A 19,000-nucleotide genomic window follows, 5' to 3' on the forward strand; every position below is an offset into this window, starting at 1 on the left:
ATATGCAGCCAACACAGGAACACCCAGATTCATGAAGCAAGTTCTTAGAGACCTACACAGAGATTAGACTCCCACACAATAATAGTGTGAGACTTCAACACTCCACTGACAGTACTAGACAGATCATTGAGGCAGAAAATTAACAAAGATGTTGAGGACCTGAACTCAACATTGGACCAAATGGATCTAACAGACGTCTTTGGAATTCTCCACCCAAAAACAACAGAACATACATTTTTCTTATTGCCACATGGCACATACTCTAAAATCAATCACACAATTGGACAAATAACAATGCTCAGCAAATTCAAAATAACCAGAATGATACCAAACACTTTCTCAGACCACAGCAAAATAAAAATAGAAATCAAGACTAAAAATATTGCTCAAAACTATGCAATTACATGGAAGTTAAACAGCTTACTCCTGAATGACTTTGGGGTATACAATGAAATTAAGGCAGAAATCAAGAAGTTCTTTGAAACTAATAAGAACAAAGTTACAACATACCAAAATTTCTGGGACACAGCTAAAGCAGTGTTAAGAGGGACATTTATAGCTCTAAACACCCACATCAAAAAGTTAGAAACATCTCAAATTAACAACCTAACATCACAACTAAAAGAACTAGGGTATCAAGAGCAAACCAACCCCAAAGCTAGCAGAAGAGTAACCAGATAAGAAATGACCAAGCAATATGAAATAACCAAAATCAGAGCTTAACTGAAGGAGATCAAGACACAAAAAACCTCAAAGAATCAATCAATCTAGGAGTTAATTTTTTGAAAAAATTAGTAAGATAGATAGGCCATTAGCTAGACTAACAAAGAAGAAAAGAGAGAAGATCCAAATAAACACAATTAGAAATGACAAAGGGGACATTACCATTGACCTCACAAAAATACAGACAACCATCAGAGACTTACTTATGAGCACCTCTATGCGCACAAACTAGAAAACCTGAAAGGGATGGATAAATTCCTGGACACCATCCCAAGACTGAACCAGGAAGAAATTAATTCCCTAAACAGGCCAATAATGAGCTCTGAAATTGAATCAGTAATAAATAACCTAGTAACCAAAAAAAGCCCAGGATCAGAAAGATTCATAGCTGAATTCTACCAGATGTTTAAAGAAGAGCTGTAAAATTATTACTGAAACTGTTCCAAAAAATTGAGAAGAGACTTTTCCCCAGTTCATTCCATGAGGCCAGCATCATCCTGATACCAAAGCCTGGCAGAGACACAACAAATAAAGAAAACTTCAGGCCAAAATAACATTGATTCAAAGATTCTCAACTAAATATTTGCAAACCAAATCAGAAGCACATAAAAAAGCTAATTCACCACAATGAAGTAGGCTTCATCCCTGGGATGAAAGGTTGGGTCAACATATGCAAATCAATAAATGTAATTCATCACACAAATAGAACTAAACACAAAAACCACATGACTATCCCAATAGATGCAGAAAAGGCGTTTGATAAAATTCAACATCCCTTCATTTAAAAAAACTCAATAAACTAGATACCAAAGGAACCTATCTCAAAATAATAGATGCCATCTATAACAAACCCACAGCCAACATCATACTGAATGGACAAAAGCTGGAAGCATTCCCCTTGAAAATCCGCACAAGTTAAGGATGTCTTCCCTCATCACTCCTATTCAACATAGTATTGGAAGTCGTGGCCAGAGCAATAAGGCGAGAGAAATAAATAAAGGGCATCCAAATAGGAAGATAGGAAGTCAAGCTATCTCTGTTTGCAAATGGCATGATACTATATCTCAAAAACCCCATTGTCTCAGCCCAAAAGCTCCTTAAGCTAACAGACAACTTCAGCAAAGTTTTGGGATACAAATCAACATACAGAAAGGAGTAGCATTCCTATACACCAACAAAGTCAAGCCAACAGCCAAATCAAGAATGAAATCCCTTTCATAATTGCCATAAAAAGAATAAAATACCTAGGAACACAACTAACCAGAGAGGTGAATGATCTCTACAATGAGAATTACAAAACACTGCTCAAAGAAATCAAAGATGACACACAAATGGAAAAACATTCCATGCTCATGGATAGAAAGATTAATATCATTAAAATGGCCATACTGCTCAAAACAATTTACAGAGTCAATGCTATTCCTGTCAAGCTACCAATGACATTCTTCACAGAACTGGAAAAAACTATTTTAAAATTCATATGAAACCAAAAACCAACAACAACAATAACAACCAAACAAAACAAAACAAAACAAAACAAAACAAACACCTGAATAGCCAACCCAATCCTAAGCAAAAAACAAAACTGGAGGCATCATGTTACCCAACTTCAGAACTATACTACAGGGAGACAGTAACTAAAACAGCATGGTACTGATTAAAAAAAAAAAGACATATATATCAATAGAACAGAATAACGAGCCCAGAAATAAGGCTGCACACCTATAGCCAACCGTTTTTTGACAAACCTGACAAAAGCAATGGGGAAAGCACTCCCTATTCAATACATGCTGCTGAGATAACTGGCTCACCATACGCAGAAGACTGAAACTGGACCCCTTCTTTATGCCATATACAAAATCCACTCAAGATGGTATAAAGACTTACATATAAAACCCAAAACTATAAAAGCCCTAGAAGACAACCTAAACAATACCACTATGAACATAGGAACAGGCAAAGATTTCATGATGAAGACACCAAAATCAATCACATCAAAAGGAAAAATTGAGAAATGGGATCTAATTAAACTTAAGAGCTTCTGCACAGCAAAAGAAATAATTAACAGAGTAAGCAGAAAACCTACTGAATGAGAGAAAATACTTGCAAACTATGCATCTGACAAAGGTCTAATATGCACATCTATAAGAAACTTAAATTTACAGGAAAAAAAACAACCCCATTAAAATGTGGACAAAGGACATGAACAGACACTTTTCAAAAGAAGACATACATGTAGCCAAGAAGCATAGGAAAAATTACTCATATCACTGATCATTACAGAAATGCAAATCAAAACCAGTGAGGTACCATCTTACACCAGTCAGAATAGCTATTATTAAAAAGTCAAAAAATAACAGGTGCTGGAGAGGTTATGGAGAAAAAGGAATGCTTATACACTGTTGTTGGGAGTGTAAATTAGTCCAGCCCATTGTGGAAAGCAGTATGGTGATTCCTCAAGAAGCTAGAAAGAGAACTACCACTTGACCTAGCAATCCCATTACTGGATATCTACCCAAAGAAATATAAATCATCCTATCATAAAGACACATACACGTGTAGGCTTATTGCAACACTATTTACAATAGCAAAGAAATGGAATCAACCTAAATGCCCTCAATGGCAGGTTGGATGAAGAAAATATGGCACATATACACCATGAAATGCTATGCGGTCATAAAAAAGAGCAAGATCATGTCCTCTTCAGGAACATGGATGGAGCTGGAGGCCACTATTCTTAGCAAACTAATGCAGGAACAGAAAACCAATTACCAAATGTTCTCATTTATAAGTGGGAGCTAAATTATGAGAACACATGAACACAAAGACAGGAACAACAGATACTGGAGTCTACTTGAGGGTGGACGATAGGAGGAGAGAGAGGATCAGAAAAAATAACTACAGGGAACCCATATAACAAACCTGCACATGTACCTGTGAGCTTAAAAGTTTTTTAAAAAAAGAAAGAAGATTAAAGTTTTAATCAGGAGATCTATTTATGGATCTATTAATAAATTAGATATGATTTTAAAATTAAAAAAAGGAAAAGAAAAACAGTGTGATGGGAATGTTAGGAACAAAAACTTGATTGGAATTGCTTAAGGGAGAATGTAAAGAAAGGAATTTGAGATAGAAAGCAGAAAGCAATCCTTGCAGGAGCTTTGCTCTAAAGATGAAAGAGTGTGCAGAGAAATGTAGGTCAAGATTTTTCTTTGTTAAAATAAATTATAGCATCTTTATGAATTCCAGTGACCTAAGACCAGTAGGCAAGTGTGTTAACAAGAGGTAGAGGGCAGTATAGTCAGTAGACATGCTATTCAAATCAGGGCATTTTTATGAAGGAAGGAAAAATAGAGGTTAGAGGAGCAAGTAAATACAAAGAGGATGCCTACCCCACCTTCTTCTGGGACAAGGATTATTAAGAAAATGAGAGGGAACACAGATACCAATTCAGAGACTTAAAGGGGAAGAAGAATGGAGCACTCAGAGAATACAATTTGTTTAGCACATAAGGAATTTTGCCCATGGCATTCTCCAAGGCTAATTGCTGTCTTTTCTTTTTTCCACAATGCTCCATTTTCATCTTTCTTAAAACAAACAGGATTGTAATGCTTTTCTTCTTTACATTGATAAATAGGTCAAACTAGCCTTAAGCTAGAAGAGGAATGTCCTCTAGGTTCCCTATGAAATTCTCTCTTGCTCTCTCCTGCCTGTACCCCATCAGCACTCTTCACTTCTATAGTCCATTTTCAGTGGTTACATAAGTGAGCCTGGACTTGGTAACCACACAGTCCCAGTTGTGTTTGTACTGATTCCAAACAATCATTTATTCTCTCTGGTATCCAACTTTCTCATTTATAGTATACAGTAGTTAAATTCAGAGTTTTTTTTTTTTTTTCACCTGGGAAACTACAACCACTTGAGGAATTAAGCAGAAAAGAAACGTTCTTCATAATGTGAGAATCTTCTAGGTATTTCAGGACACTTAGGATAAGTGACATTGCCCATTAATTTCTAGTTGTATCCTCCAGTCCTTGACACAGCCAAAAGGATGGCCACATACTTTCCGAACACCTCATATTCCAGGATTGATAGATATAATATGGGTTACCCAGGTAAATTTGAATTTTCCATAAACCATAAAGTTTTTAGTAAAAGTATGTCCAAAATATTGTATGGGTACCCTCTGTTTTTATTACTCTAGCTGGTAACCCTACATATGGGGAACCCTCCTGCATACATCGTAGACTATGTGAAAATGGCCCCTTAGAGTTGTGCGGTATCCAACCTACACTACTAAATGTGGCAACACTGCTTAGAGGTCAATACCAGTGGAGAACACCGGCATAGGTTATTAATGAGAGCAAATGTAGCACTGATAATTCTATAAATCTTCAGACTATCTATTGGTGCAATGTGAAAAAAAGCTGTGGGAGGCATACATATAAGCAAAGTCAAGTCTCAGAAAATTTAAAAGTTGATCATTTTGAGATCCAGTAATATTACTTTTTGTACCTTCTTCATCTCTTTTATTGATTTATCCCTCTCTTGACTCTGGATCTTGTTTGTTTATTCCCAGGAGAGAAAATAACCTTGTTACAATAAGAAGTTAGTATTTAGTCATCCACACCCAGAATTATAAATGAGGACTTGAAGGATATGACGGTGTAAACACAAGGGAATAATTAGCTAGTAGTGACATTTCAGACACCAATTGGAAAGATTTCTTTCCTACTATTGAAGTTTAATAACCATTGGATGGTGAGGTCAAAATGTCACCAAAGAAAAGTAATTGACTAGTTGTCAAAAGGCCAAAGAAGGTCAAATTTCCTTAAACAGATTCTGCAGTCTGAGGTTTGATTTTATGCTTTCAAAATAAAAAATCTTGACTCTGTCATCTCCTTGAATATGAGTCCATTTCTTAAAAGTAGACTTCTATTAAACAAGTTCACAAGAGATCAATTCACAGATGAAAATTGGCAACTGACTAATTTACAATGATACATAGAAGAAAATTGGTGACTAATTTACAATGATGCATAAACTGCTGTGCAGATAAGAATACCTGCATTTGAAACTGATGTATTCTACATTTGAAGACAGACATCAGTTTGTTTCTGTTAACTAGTATTTATTGAAAGAAACACTGTTTTATTGAAGAGGAGCATAAGGGAATAAGTCACAATCTCTGTACTTGTATTTTACTAATATTAACAAGAGTGAAGAAAAGAGAACATGACAAACCCTGGGCAAATGGGTGGATAGGGGCAGAAAAGAAAGAGAAAGGAAAATATAGGAAGACAAGGAAGTGAGAGACCATGACACATTTGAGAAAGTAAATATAATTCAGCAAAGGTAAGCATTAAGCACCAGATGAGAAAGGGTGAGAGAAGAACATAGGGAAATGAGCAAGATCCCAGTCAAGAGCAGTCTTACAAGCTTTGTTCAGCAGTTGGTCTGTTTCCTAAGAGTAATGCAGAATCACTACAGGTTTTAAGCAGTTAATTATTAGATTTTCATTTTGAAAGATCTGTTGAGCAATTGTGTAGAGACTGGATTGGATTAAAGGGTAGCAAGATAAGTATAAAGGGCCCAAGATAAGCATTAAGGCTATAACATAGATGAGAATTGATGATGTTGGAACTAGATGATATTAGTATACCTGGAAGAAGATGAATAGGTGAGCTATTTAGCAGGTACAATCGACAGGATTTAGCAATTAATTTTATGTATGGGGTGAGGAGAACAGAGAGTCCAAGTAGGTACACTCTATTGTGAGCATGGACATAGGAGAAGCAGCAAATTGAGGTGAAGGAAAGGAAAAACTATTTAGTGGTACACTTTTGTGGTTTGATTTGTGCTTAGAAGAGTCAAGTGAACCAGTGAAAAGATATTTTGAGATAGAAGGCTTAGGTTTAGGAGACAAATCTGGAATAAATGTTTAGATTTATGCATCATTATAGATGTCACCAAAGACCATAATATTACCCAGAAAGGATACATTAGAGTAATAAGAGAGATGGGCCTAGAAGTGAGAAACACTTAAACTTAAATCACAAGCAAAAGGAAAAGGAGTCCACAAAAAAGTCTCAGAAGTGATGGCAATAGAAAGGGAAGACAGTCACTTGGGAGAACATGTAATATAAAAGCAAAGACAAGACAGAATTCACTAAAAATGGAATAGCTATATCATGACAAAGGAAATTCCCATTGGTTTTGAAATATATATGTATGTAGTTTTTAAGAGAGGGCTTGTTAGAGAAGATAATTAGAGCATTTTTCAGAGGACATTTAGTGGCAGAAACCTGAATGTAGTTGATCATAAAGTGAGTAGAAATTGAAGAAGTGGAATCAGTGTGAGTGCAGACAATTCTTCCCATAGGTTTGTTTGCATCAGGGAAGAGAAAAATAACACACAATTTGCAAGGGGCATTAATGACAAAATTCGATTTATGTGTGAGTATATTTTGGGTGGTTTGACTCACCTGTTTGTTAGTTTTTAAAATTGACAGAATTGACCATATTTTATGTTGATGAGGAAAAACGGAAGAAGAGTGAAGTGGCTAAAATATAGATGGGAATCTTCTACAAGGTTCCTGAGGAGGAACTAATAGAATCCAGGACACAGGTAAAGGGTTCAGCATTAGATGGTTTGCCAGGGCTGCCATAACAACCTACTATAAATTGGGTGACTTAAACAACAGAATGTTATTGTTTCACAGTTCTGGAAGCTAAAAGTCTGATATAAAGATGTCTGTAGGGTTGGTTCCTTCTGATGGCTATGAGGAAAGAATCTATTCCAGGTCTTTCTCCTTGGTTTGTAGATGGTCATCTTCTTCCTATGTCTCTTCACCTTGTCTTCCTTCTATGAGTGTGTCCACATTTCCTCTTTTTATAAAGACACCAGTCAATTGGATTAGGGGCCCACTCTACTCAAGTATTACCCCATCCTAAGTTAGCTAATTACATCAGCAATGACCTTATTTCCAAATAATATCATGTCCTGGAGTACTGGTTATTAGAACTTTAAGATACGAATTTGGGAGGGGGAAATAATTCAACTATGACAGAGGGAAAGACACATTTTTTTTTCCATTGTAAGCGGATGGAAAGCTGTGTGTCTGTAGATTTTATGGCAGGAAGTTTAGGAATTTCCATCTGCCTTTTATTTTCTTGGAAGTAGAGACAGTCATTAGCAGAGAAGGAGTCAGAGTTGGAAGTTAAAGTCTCCTGGGGAAGAGTAGAAAAAGCCATTGGACAGAGTGAGAGAAAAGAACAGGGAGGCTGTCAGGCAGCTTTGACAGCTACTATGGCATCAGCCTGTGAAAGGTAGTCCAGGGAAATAATCAATTATTCTTTGGTGCCCTTTAGATAATAATGTAAGATCTCATGGAGAGGACTACTTTGGTCATATAGTAGCTTCCAACAAAATGTATGCCAGTTTTACTAAGGAAAAGCTGTTCTCAGACTTCCCAGTTAGCCATTCATTTGGAGATCAGGTTAAATGTCAATTTGTGATTATCACTATTTAAAAGAGAAGCATGCATCTCTGTACATAGTAAAATTATTTATAACTGAAATTTTTATTAAAGTAATATAATCTGTTTTCTCCACTTAATTGTGTTCTAAAGAGAGAGAATACCTTATGCATCTTTCTGTCTTGATATATCCCCTGATTCTCTCTCTTTAGAAAACAATTAAGTGGAGAAAACAGATTATATTACTTTAATAAAAATTCTAGTTATAAATAATTTTACTATGTACAGAGAACCATGCCTCTCTTTTAAATTCCTCAGTGCTCTGAGTGTAGTCAGTACTCAGCGAGTATTCCTAGAATTGAACCTTGAGTAGTAGTGGTTACTCACTAACTGAGCCTGTCTGTCCCACTCACAGTAATTTTTCTCAGAAAGGCCATCCAAGGATACACCTTGTTTTCGAAAATTGAGATGTGAAATGCATGCATATTTGTAAAATTCAAGAATGTGGACATTTATGATGAGGTCCAAGAGCAGAGCACACTTGAACCTCTTGAAGAAATGGAAAGTAATCTGACCTTCAGTCACACAAAAGTTTAGTTTAACTTAATGGTAAGATGATAGCACTGACTTAATTAACCTTTCTAATATACTTTCTCTCTATTTGTAGAATCTATAACAGGTATCTATTTTAAAATGATATATATGGCAATTTTATGTAATAATGAATAGCAGTAACAAATATAAGAAATAAAGAAATATTATGTTTCATTTTGTTTTTCAGAGTGATTGTGTACTTAGCTTTTTCCTCTCTGAGGCTGTGCAACAAACAGTTGAAGAATCATCACCTGTGTACCTAGGTAAGTAAATTTGTCATTATATTACGTACAGTGATTTTCAAAATAATTGGACAAAAAGATATCACAACTAATTTTTTTCAATTTTTCAATTAAAATCTCTTTTTAAGAGTAAGACTTTAATACTCTTTTCTAACCATTTCCATAGCGTAAACTTGAATAATCCAGATTTTGAAAAAATAAAACATGAGGTTGTAGAATTCTAGAGGTGTGGGGCTTTGATGAAAGGTTGACTCTATTTTGTCACTAGTCTCTCAAGAAAATTGTTTCTCTGTGTTTCAAGAAATTAAATTGCAGACCACTGTCAAATCTTTTTTATTTTGATTATAATATTATTTCTTTGAAAGGTGTTTTGAAATACATTTGCACACATTAAAAATTTAGGATTATTATTGCAAAAACTAAAATGGTTGAGAACTTTTTTTATTTCTTACATCATAGAATATTCAAGATTTGTTTCAACAGTGATGAGTGACAAAAGATTTGATTCTCAATACATTTAGATTATCGGCTACATATTAAATATAATCTATTATCTTAAAACAACAGAATACATATTTCCTAGCACAATATGCAAACTAATATAATAAGCAAGGATTAGCAGGAAGTTATTCCTTCTTGTGCTAATCAAATTATTTTCTTTTTCATGTTTTTGAATTCTTAATTCTTTTGTCACAGAACATTAGCTGGTTGTAAGCAAGAAGCACAATATTTATTTTAAGCACTATTCCTGGCTGTTAGTTGAAAATAGGTGTATGTTGTTAAATGATTACAGGGTGAAATCATTCGAGTGTATTAAAGTGTTGGTTAACCTAGGAAAACATTAAGCAAAAAACTCAGATTTCACTAGTTTACTACCTCTGCAAGTTAATTAAGAGGGTGGATTCCAGATACCTGTGTATCTAGGCACCTGACTTAGAAAAATAATAGTAATATTTAACTCTAAATCTGGGAGATACTAATACTCTTTGCCTTTACTCACTAACTAAACATGCCTTGGGAGAACAATTGAGGAATTTAAGGAATTTATTTTTTTCAAATGCCAATTCAATCATCTCTCTTCTCTAGTTAAACCTTCTCTTTGGCTTCTGATTGCCCTTAGGCAGGGCCAGCTGTATCCACTTGTGACCTGCACAGTCACACAGGGCAGGGTGCTTAAAAAGTTCTTGCACTTGATTTAATACTCTGCTGCCACTGTCTTGAAATTCTTAATAAGTTTTGAAAAATCATCCCCACATTTTTATTTTGCACTGAGCCCCACCAATTATGTAGCTGGTCTTGCCCTTTGGATAAACATCAAAACTCTCATCATGGGATTCCAGCAGAATATGGTCTTTGCTATACACGCCTAGAATGTTATTTCTTCAAAACACTCATTGCCATGATAATTCTTGCTTGTGTGTTTATCTGTAGACTAGAAATCCACTGGGGATAATCCATGTCCATATGGCTCACCATTGTATCCCTGGGGTCATGCACAGTGTCTGGCCTACTATAGTTGTTCAATAAATAATTACTGAATAAATGATTGATGACAGAAAGAACAACTATGAAGGACACCTTGATATTCTCTATCAAGGTAGCATGGCATTTGTAAAATAATTTTTGATTTTGGTTTTTTCTCTCTTGTCCTTATCAAAATCGTGCTATTCCTCCCAAACTGATTACTTCATGTGTAAATGTTCTGGCACAAGAAATTCAGGGTCTCCGAACTGCTAAAATTATCTTAAAGTTATCACTTGGAATAAAAAAACTACAAATTATTACACTAAATATTATGGATACCAGACTCAACAAAGCAGTAACCAAAAAAGTTGCTGGATTTTATTTTAAGTGTATATTCTTTAACTCTCTAATGACATGATCCTATATATTCTCCCAAAATTAATATAGCCCACATACCAAATAATACCTCCACAAAAAAATAAAATAAAATTATCTACTCACAACTACTACATAGCTTTGACACCCAGAAGATAGTTATTTGTCAAGGTACAGAAATAATAACATAGGTAATGGAGTAGAACATGATCAAACACAGCAATTGTCAGGGTTAAGAGGATGAGTTAATGAGCATGATTAAGCACCATTAAAAATTACAAATGATTGCAAACACAAGCTTTCAATCATTACCTCGTATCACTACCTCCCATTTGAGATGTTATTTTGAAAGAGAACTTGAGGCCATGCCATCTACATGCCAGGGTCTCACTAGTTAATGGTCTAGCTACTCGCTCTGGCAGAGCCCAGATCAATTATCCATGGGTTGAAGTATGGTACTCAGGTTTTCAATTAAAATGTTAATGATGTGAAAGGCCAAGCAGTGTAAGAATAGAACTATTTAAAAATAAATATTTGTGTTAAGTTGTTTCTGAAACATTCAGTTGAAAGCTTTAACATAGTAGCCATTTTGCTATGTTGTATGACCTCATGTTTTTAATTAGAAAAATATTTTGGACTTTTACTTTGATCTGGGAAGAAAAAGATTAAAAAATGATGAGTTAGAGGGCTTTCTCTAATTACCTCATCTCTAACATCTGAGTGTGAAGGATATAAGTAAAATCTAAGAAATCAAGCAATAAAAAAATCTATATCTGTGTTAGGGAAACACCAAAACACCGAGAAAAATCGCAACATTGAATATAATTGGGTGGTAGATGAAATAGAGTTAGAAAGATTGTGCACACTAATTTCACCTTTATCTTTATCCACTTATGAAACAAGTATTGTCAAAAGAAATAAAAAGTCTAAGGCTATTAAATAAAGGCAGCTGCTAAAACAAAAGTAACAACTTTCTTAGGTATCACAAATACATGAAAATAAAAGCAAATTACTTAGCAAAAGACTTTCTTTAAAAATCATAAAAATAATAATATAAAGCATTAAAATAGACCTAAGAGAAAACTAATCTATTATATTAATAAGTATAAATGGGCTTAACTCATCTATTAAGGAAGTTGTTTTCCAAATTGGAACAAAAATGCAAATCATAACTCTATGTGAAAACACACCTATATTTTATTGAGGATTTTTGTATCAATCACCACTCCTATTCAACATAGTGTTGGAAGTTCTGGCCAGGGCAATTAGACAGGAGAAGGAAATAAAGGGTATTCAATTAGGAAAAGAGGAAGTCAAATTGTCCCTGTTTGCAGACGACATGATTGTATATCTAGAAAACCCCATTGTCTCAGCCCAAAATCTCCTTAAGCTGATAAGCAACTTCAGCAAAGTCTCAGGATACAAAATCAATGTACAAAAATCACAAGCATTCTTATACACCAATAACAGACAAACAGAGAGCCAAATCATGAGTGAACTCCCATTCACAATTGCTTCAAAGATAATGAAATACCTAGGAATCCAACTTACAAGGGATGTGAAGGACCTCTTCAAGGAGAACTACAAACCACTGCTCAAGGAAATAAAAGAGGATACAAACAAATGGAAGAATATTCCATGCTCATGGGTAGGAAGAATCAATATCATGAAAATGGCCATACTGCCCAAGGTAATTTAGAGATTCAATGCCATCCCCATCAAGCTACCAATGACTTTCTTCACAGAATTGGAAACAACTACTTTAAAGTTCATATGGAACCAAAAAAGAGCCCGCGTTGCCAAGTCAATCCTAAGCCAAAAGAACAAAGCTGGAGGCATCACACTACCTGACTTCAAACTATACTACAAGGCTACAGTAACCAAAACAGCATGGTACTGGTACCAAAACAGAGATATAGATCAATGGAACAGAACAGAGCCCTCAGAAAAAACGCCGCATATCTACAACTATCTGATCTTTGACAAACCTGAGAAAAACAAGCAATGGGGAAAGGATTCCCTATTTAATAAATGGTGCTGGGAAAACTGGCTAGCCATATGTAGAAAGCTGAAACTGGAACCCTTCCTTACACCTTATACAAAAATCAATTCAAGATGGATTAAAGACTTAAACGTTAGACCTAAAACCATAAAACCCTAGAAGAAAACCTAGGCATTACCATTCAGGACATAGGCATGGGCAAGGACTTCATGTCTAAAACACCAAAAGCAATGGCAACAAAAGCCAAAATTGACAAATGGGATCTAATTAAACTAAAGAACTTCTGCACAGCAAAAGAAACTACCATCAGAGTGAACAGGCAACCTACAAAATGGGAGAAAATTTTCGCAACCTACTCATCTGACAAAGGGCTAATATCCAGAATCTACAATGAACTCAAACAAATTTACAAGAAAAAACAAACAACCCCATCAAAAAGTGGGCGAAGGACATGAACAGACGCTTCTCAAAAGAAGACATTTATGCAGCCAAAAAACACATGAGAAAATGCTCACCATCACTGGCCATCAGAGAAATGCAAATCAAAACCACAATGAGATACCATCTCACACCAGTTAGAATGGCAATCATTAAAAAGTCAGGAAACAACAGGTGCTGGAGAGGATGTGGAGAAATAGGAACACTTTTACACTGTTGGTGGGACTGTAAACTAGTTCAACCACTGTGGAAGTCAGTGTGGCAATTCCTCAGGGATCTAGAACTAGAAATACCATTTGACCCAGCCATCCCATTACTGGGTATATACCCAAAGGACTATAAATCATGCTGCTCTAAAGACACATGCACACGTATGCTTATTGCGGCATTATTCACAATAGCAAAGACTTGGAACCAACCCAAATGTCCAACAATGAAAGACTGGATTAAGAAAATGTGGCACATATACACCATGGAATACTATGCAGCCATAAAAAATGATGAGTTCATGTCCTTTGTAGGGACATGGATGAAATTGGAAATCATCATTCTCAGTAAACTATCGCAAGAGCAAAAAACCAAACACCGCATATTCTCACTCATAGGTGGGAATTGAACAATGAGAACACATGGACACAGGAAGGGGAACATCACACTCTGGGGACTGTTGTGGGGTAGGGGGAGGCGGGAGGGATAGCACTGGGAGATATACCTAATGCTAGATGACGAGTTAGTGGGTGCAGCACACCAGCATGGCACATGTATACATATGCAACTAACCTGCACATTGTGTACATGTACCCTAAAACTTAAAGTATAATAATAAATGAATGAATAAATAAATAAATATAAATAAAAAAAAATAAAAATAAAAATAAAGAAAACACACCTAAAACAAAGTGATTGTGAAAGGTTGAAAATTAAAATATAGCCATAGGTATATTAGGCAAAGCAAGAAAATTCAATCAGAGGTCACAATCTTGATGAAGAAAAAGAGGAATTTAGGCTAAAAAGCATTGAATTAAATAAGAGAATTTTATAATGAGTACAGTTCTCAATAAAGATAGGCGCAGTTATGACTTCATATCAAATAATTTGACAGCAACATATATAAAGCAGAAATTATTGAACACACAAGAAGAAACACATAAAAACACACTAGTAGTAGGATACTCTATTTCACATCTTGATTTATGAAAGACCAAATGGAAAAACCTAAGTAGATTTATAGAAAAATAAAGTAGTCAATAAGTCAAAACTTTATCCTGAAAAAAAATGTATCTTCTCTTCAAATGCCTATGAAAGTTTATAAAATAGATGATATATTTGACTACAGAAAAGTTCAATAAAGTCCAAAAAGTAAAAATAATGTAGTTGAAATTCTTTAATCATTTAATCACTTTAACAAAGTGAAAATTTAATGGAAATTTTCAGAAAACTAGAAGACACTTAGGTTTAGGAATTAAAAAAAAATCTTTTGAAGAACTGTTGGATCAAATGGATTACAGAAAAAATTTGCAAAATTTCTAAAGACTAGCAATAGTGAAATACTACATCTCAGAAACCATGAAAGACAAAACTATGCTCAGAGGAATATTGGAATAAAAGTTACAAACCAAACCAAATAAACCAAAAAAGGATAAAGATAAAAGTAGACTTCAAATAGTTAGAACAAAGAAAACACTGGAACAAATCAGAAGTAAAAAGTAAACAATAAAATAAATGAGTCACTATCTAACCTAATCAAAAATGGGGAGTAATGCAAGTACGCAAATATTAATACAAAAGGAAATGCAAGAATTAACCATAGAAAGATGAAATTATAGTAACAGACTACCTGTTCAACTCCATGAGAAAATAAATTTGTAAATCTGTCTGAAATTGATAATTTTCTAGGAAAAAAAAATTTACTTGGCCCAGAGAAGATGATTCTAACAAGATTAAGTTTGATCAAATAAATACAATATAATGCTTCAAAATGCAAGCAAAACTTTTACATTTTTCAAAAATACCAAGTTCAGATAATTTCCAGAGGAATTCTACCAAACTCCTTAAAAGCAGACAATTTCATGTTACTTAAACACTTCCAGAGCAGAGAAAAAGAAAGAAAATTTTCCATATGACTTTTATGATGCACATAAAGTATTTACACCAATAGTTTCAAGGATTACAAGGGTGGCAAATAAGAAATCACAGACCAATCTCACTTAAGAATATCAAGGAAAAATTCTAAATAAAATATTAGCCAAAATAATCCATCAGCACACTAAAGGAATATAATTCACCATGACAGAAATGCAAGAACAGTTCAATATTAGTACTATACATAATATATAATACATATTATCATATTGATAGATTTAAGGATAAAAATCACATGGTCACCTCTATAGACCCTGAAAAGGCATTTGATAAAATTGAATGACCTTTCTTAACAAAACAACCAATAAAATAAAAATTAAAAAAAAAAAAATCCTGTCATTTGTGGTAACTTGGATGGAACTGGAGGACATTATGTTAAGTGAAATAAGCCAGGAACAGAAAGTTCAACACCATATATTTTCACTCATATGTGGAAGCTTAAAAACGCTGATCTCAAATAAGTAAAAAGTAGAACAGAGGATACTAGAGGGTGAGAAAGGTGGGGGTAAAGGAGAGATGGAGAGAGATTTTTTTAAAGAATACAAAATTACAGCTAGATAGGTGGAACAAGATCTAGGGTTCTATACTACGTAGGATGTAGGATGACTATAGTTAATCATAATATGTTAATGATGAATCTGTAAATTACTTTGGGCAGTATGGCCATTTTAATGATATTGATACTTCTAGTCTATGGGCATGGAATTTTTTTTCATTCAAATTACCAATGTCATTTTTCACAGAGTTTGAAAAAACTATTCTAAAATTCATGTGATACAACAACAAAAAACGTCCAAATAGCAAAGCAAAAAGAACAAAGCCAGAAGCATCACATGACCTGACTTTCAACTATACTGGACATTAGAGAGCCGGGCTTAGGGAAATACAGGGGTAGAGGAAGCAGCAGAAAGGCCCTGTGAGCTCGCTGGGTCCCCAAGCAGCCCATTCCTGCCTGGCACCACAGGGATCCATCAGTGGGGTGGCCAGAGGAGGGGGTAAAACTGCACAGGGAGAAAGAATTCTCTAGCTGAACTCTGTAACAATTTGAATGGGGCTAGAAGCCTCCTGGCCAGAACTCAGGGGAGGGCACGAATCCGGCTTGGAGACTTCACAGGTAGGGGAAGAACTAAAGCCCTTTTCTTTTGCAGCTGGGAGGTGGAAAGCTTTGGGCAACTTTTCGAGCCTGACTCGCCCTCCACCTGGAAACAGACTGTTGCAGGGGGGCACGGTGGGAGTGAGACTGGCCATTCAGTTTGTGTGGGAGCTGGGTGAGGCCTGTTACTGCCAGCTTTCCCCCACTTCCCTGACAACATGCATGACTTAGTTGAGGCAGCCATAATCCTCCTAGGCACATAACTCCAGTGACCCGGGACCTCACGCCCACCCCCCACAGCAGTCGCAGCAAGACCAGCCCAAGGAGAGTCTGAGCTCAGACACGCCTAGCCCCACCCCCACCTGATGGTCCCTCCCTACCCACCCTGGTAGTGGGTGACAAAGGACATATAATTGTGGGAGTTCTAGGACCCCGCCCACTGCTGGTCCCCCTCCACATTACTACAGCTGATGCTTTCTGGAAAGCTCCACCTCCTGACAGGAGGCCATCAGCACAAGAGCATTAAACCACCAAAGCTAAGGACCCCCACAGAGTCTATTCCACCCTCTGCCACCTCACCAAAACAGATGCTGGTATCCATGGCTGAGAGACCCACAGACAGTTCACATCACAGGACTCTGTGCAGACAGCCCCCAGTACCAGCCCAAAGCCAGGTAGGCTCACTGGGTGAATGAACCCGGAAGAGAGACAACAATCACTGCACTTCAGCTCACTGGAAGCCACATCCACAGTAAAAGGGGGAGAGTACTACATCAAGGAACACCCCATGGGACAAAAAAATCTGAACAACATCCTTCAGCCCTTGACTTTCCCTGTGACAGAAACTGCCCAAATGAGAAGGAACCAGAAAACCAACCCTGGTAATATGAAAAAACAAGGCTCATCAACACCCACTAAAAATCACACTAGTTCACCAGCAATGGATCCAAACCAAGAAGAAATCCCTGATTTACCTGAAAAAGAATTCAAGAGGTTAGTTATTAAGCTAATCAGGGAAAGACCAGATAAAAGGCAAAGGCCAATGCAAGAAAATCCAAAATATGTTACAAGAAGTGAAGGGAAAAATATTCAAGGAAATAGATATCTTAAAAAACAATCAAATATTCAGGAAACTTCAGACACATTTTTAGAAATGCAAAATGCTCTGGAAATTCTCAGCAATATAATTGAATAAGTAGAAGAAAGAAACTCAGAGCTTGAAGACAAGGTCTTTGAATTAACCTTGTCTAACAAAGACAAAGAAAAAAGAAAAAGAAAATATGAACAAAGCCTCCAAGAAGTCTGGGATTATGTTAAATGACCAAACCTAAGAATAATCGGTGTTTCTTAGGAAGAAGACATTTCTAAAAGCTTGGAAAACATATCTGGGGGAATAACCAAGCAAAACTTCCCCAGCCTTGCCGGAGTCCTAGACATGCAAATATAAGAAGCACTAAGAACACCTGGGAATTCCTGGCAAAAAGTTCTTCTCCTGAGCACATTGTCATCAGGTTATCCAAATTAAGACAAGGGAAAGAATCTTAAGACCTGTGAGACAGAAGCACCAGTTAACCTATAAAGGAAAAGCTATCAGATTAACAGCAGATTTCTCAGCAAAAACCCTACAAGCTAGAAAGCATTTGGGCCCTATATTCAGCCTCCTAAAACAAAACAATTATCAGCCAAGAGTTTTGTATCCAGCGAAACTAAGCATCATTTATGAAGGAAAGATACAGTCTTTTTCAGACAAACAAATGCTGAGAGAATTCACCATTACCAAATCACTACCACAAGAACTGCTAAAAAGAGCTCCAAATCTTGAAACAAATCCTGGAAACACATCAAAAAGAATCTCTTTAAAGCATAAATCACACAGGACTTATGAAACAAAAATGCAAGTTAAAAAGCTAAAACAAACAAAAAAAACAAAATGAAAATACACAGGCAACAAAGAGCATGATGAATGCAATGGTACCTCACATTTCAATACTAACATTGAAGGTAAATGGCCTAAATGCTCCACTTAAAAGATACAGAACCACAGAATGCATAAGAACTCACCAACCATCTGCTGCCTTCAGGAGACTCACCTAACACATAAGCATTCATATAAACTTAGAGTAAATAGGTAGAAAAAGGCATTTCATGCAAATGTACACCAAAAGCGAGCAGGGTTAGCTATTCTTATATCAGACAAAACAAACTTTAAAGCAACCACAGTTAAAAGAGACAAAGAGGGACAGTATATAATGGTAAAAAGCCTTGTCCAACAGGAAACTATCACAAACCTAAACATATATGCACCTAACACTGGGGCTCCCAAAGTTATAAAACAATTACTAAAAGACCTAAAAAATGAGATAGACAGCAACACAATAATAGTAGGGGACTTCAATACTCTGCTGACAGCACTAGACAGGTCATCAAGACAGAAAGTCAACTGAGAAAC

The 19,000-nt window shown here is 35.8% G+C and overlaps 1 protein-coding gene across 14 annotated transcripts in view; it reads left to right on the forward strand.

Annotated features, from left to right (window-relative positions):
- PIK3C2G (phosphatidylinositol-4-phosphate 3-kinase catalytic subunit type 2 gamma) overlaps positions 1-19,000 on the forward strand; it is a 483,857-nt gene that overhangs the window by 342,551 nt on the left and 122,306 nt on the right. For all 14 annotated transcript variants that reach the window (XM_047429007.1, XM_017019471.2, XM_047429008.1 and 11 more), the window contains one exon: positions 8,983-9,058. In XM_047429007.1, coding sequence (XP_047284963.1) covers positions 8,983-9,058 — 76 coding nt within the window. The remainder of the gene's footprint in view (positions 1-8,982; positions 9,059-19,000) is intronic.

Source organism: Homo sapiens, chromosome 12 (genome assembly GCF_000001405.40).
Source record: "Homo sapiens chromosome 12, GRCh38.p14 Primary Assembly".
NCBI lineage: Eukaryota > Metazoa > Chordata > Mammalia > Primates > Hominidae > Homo > Homo sapiens.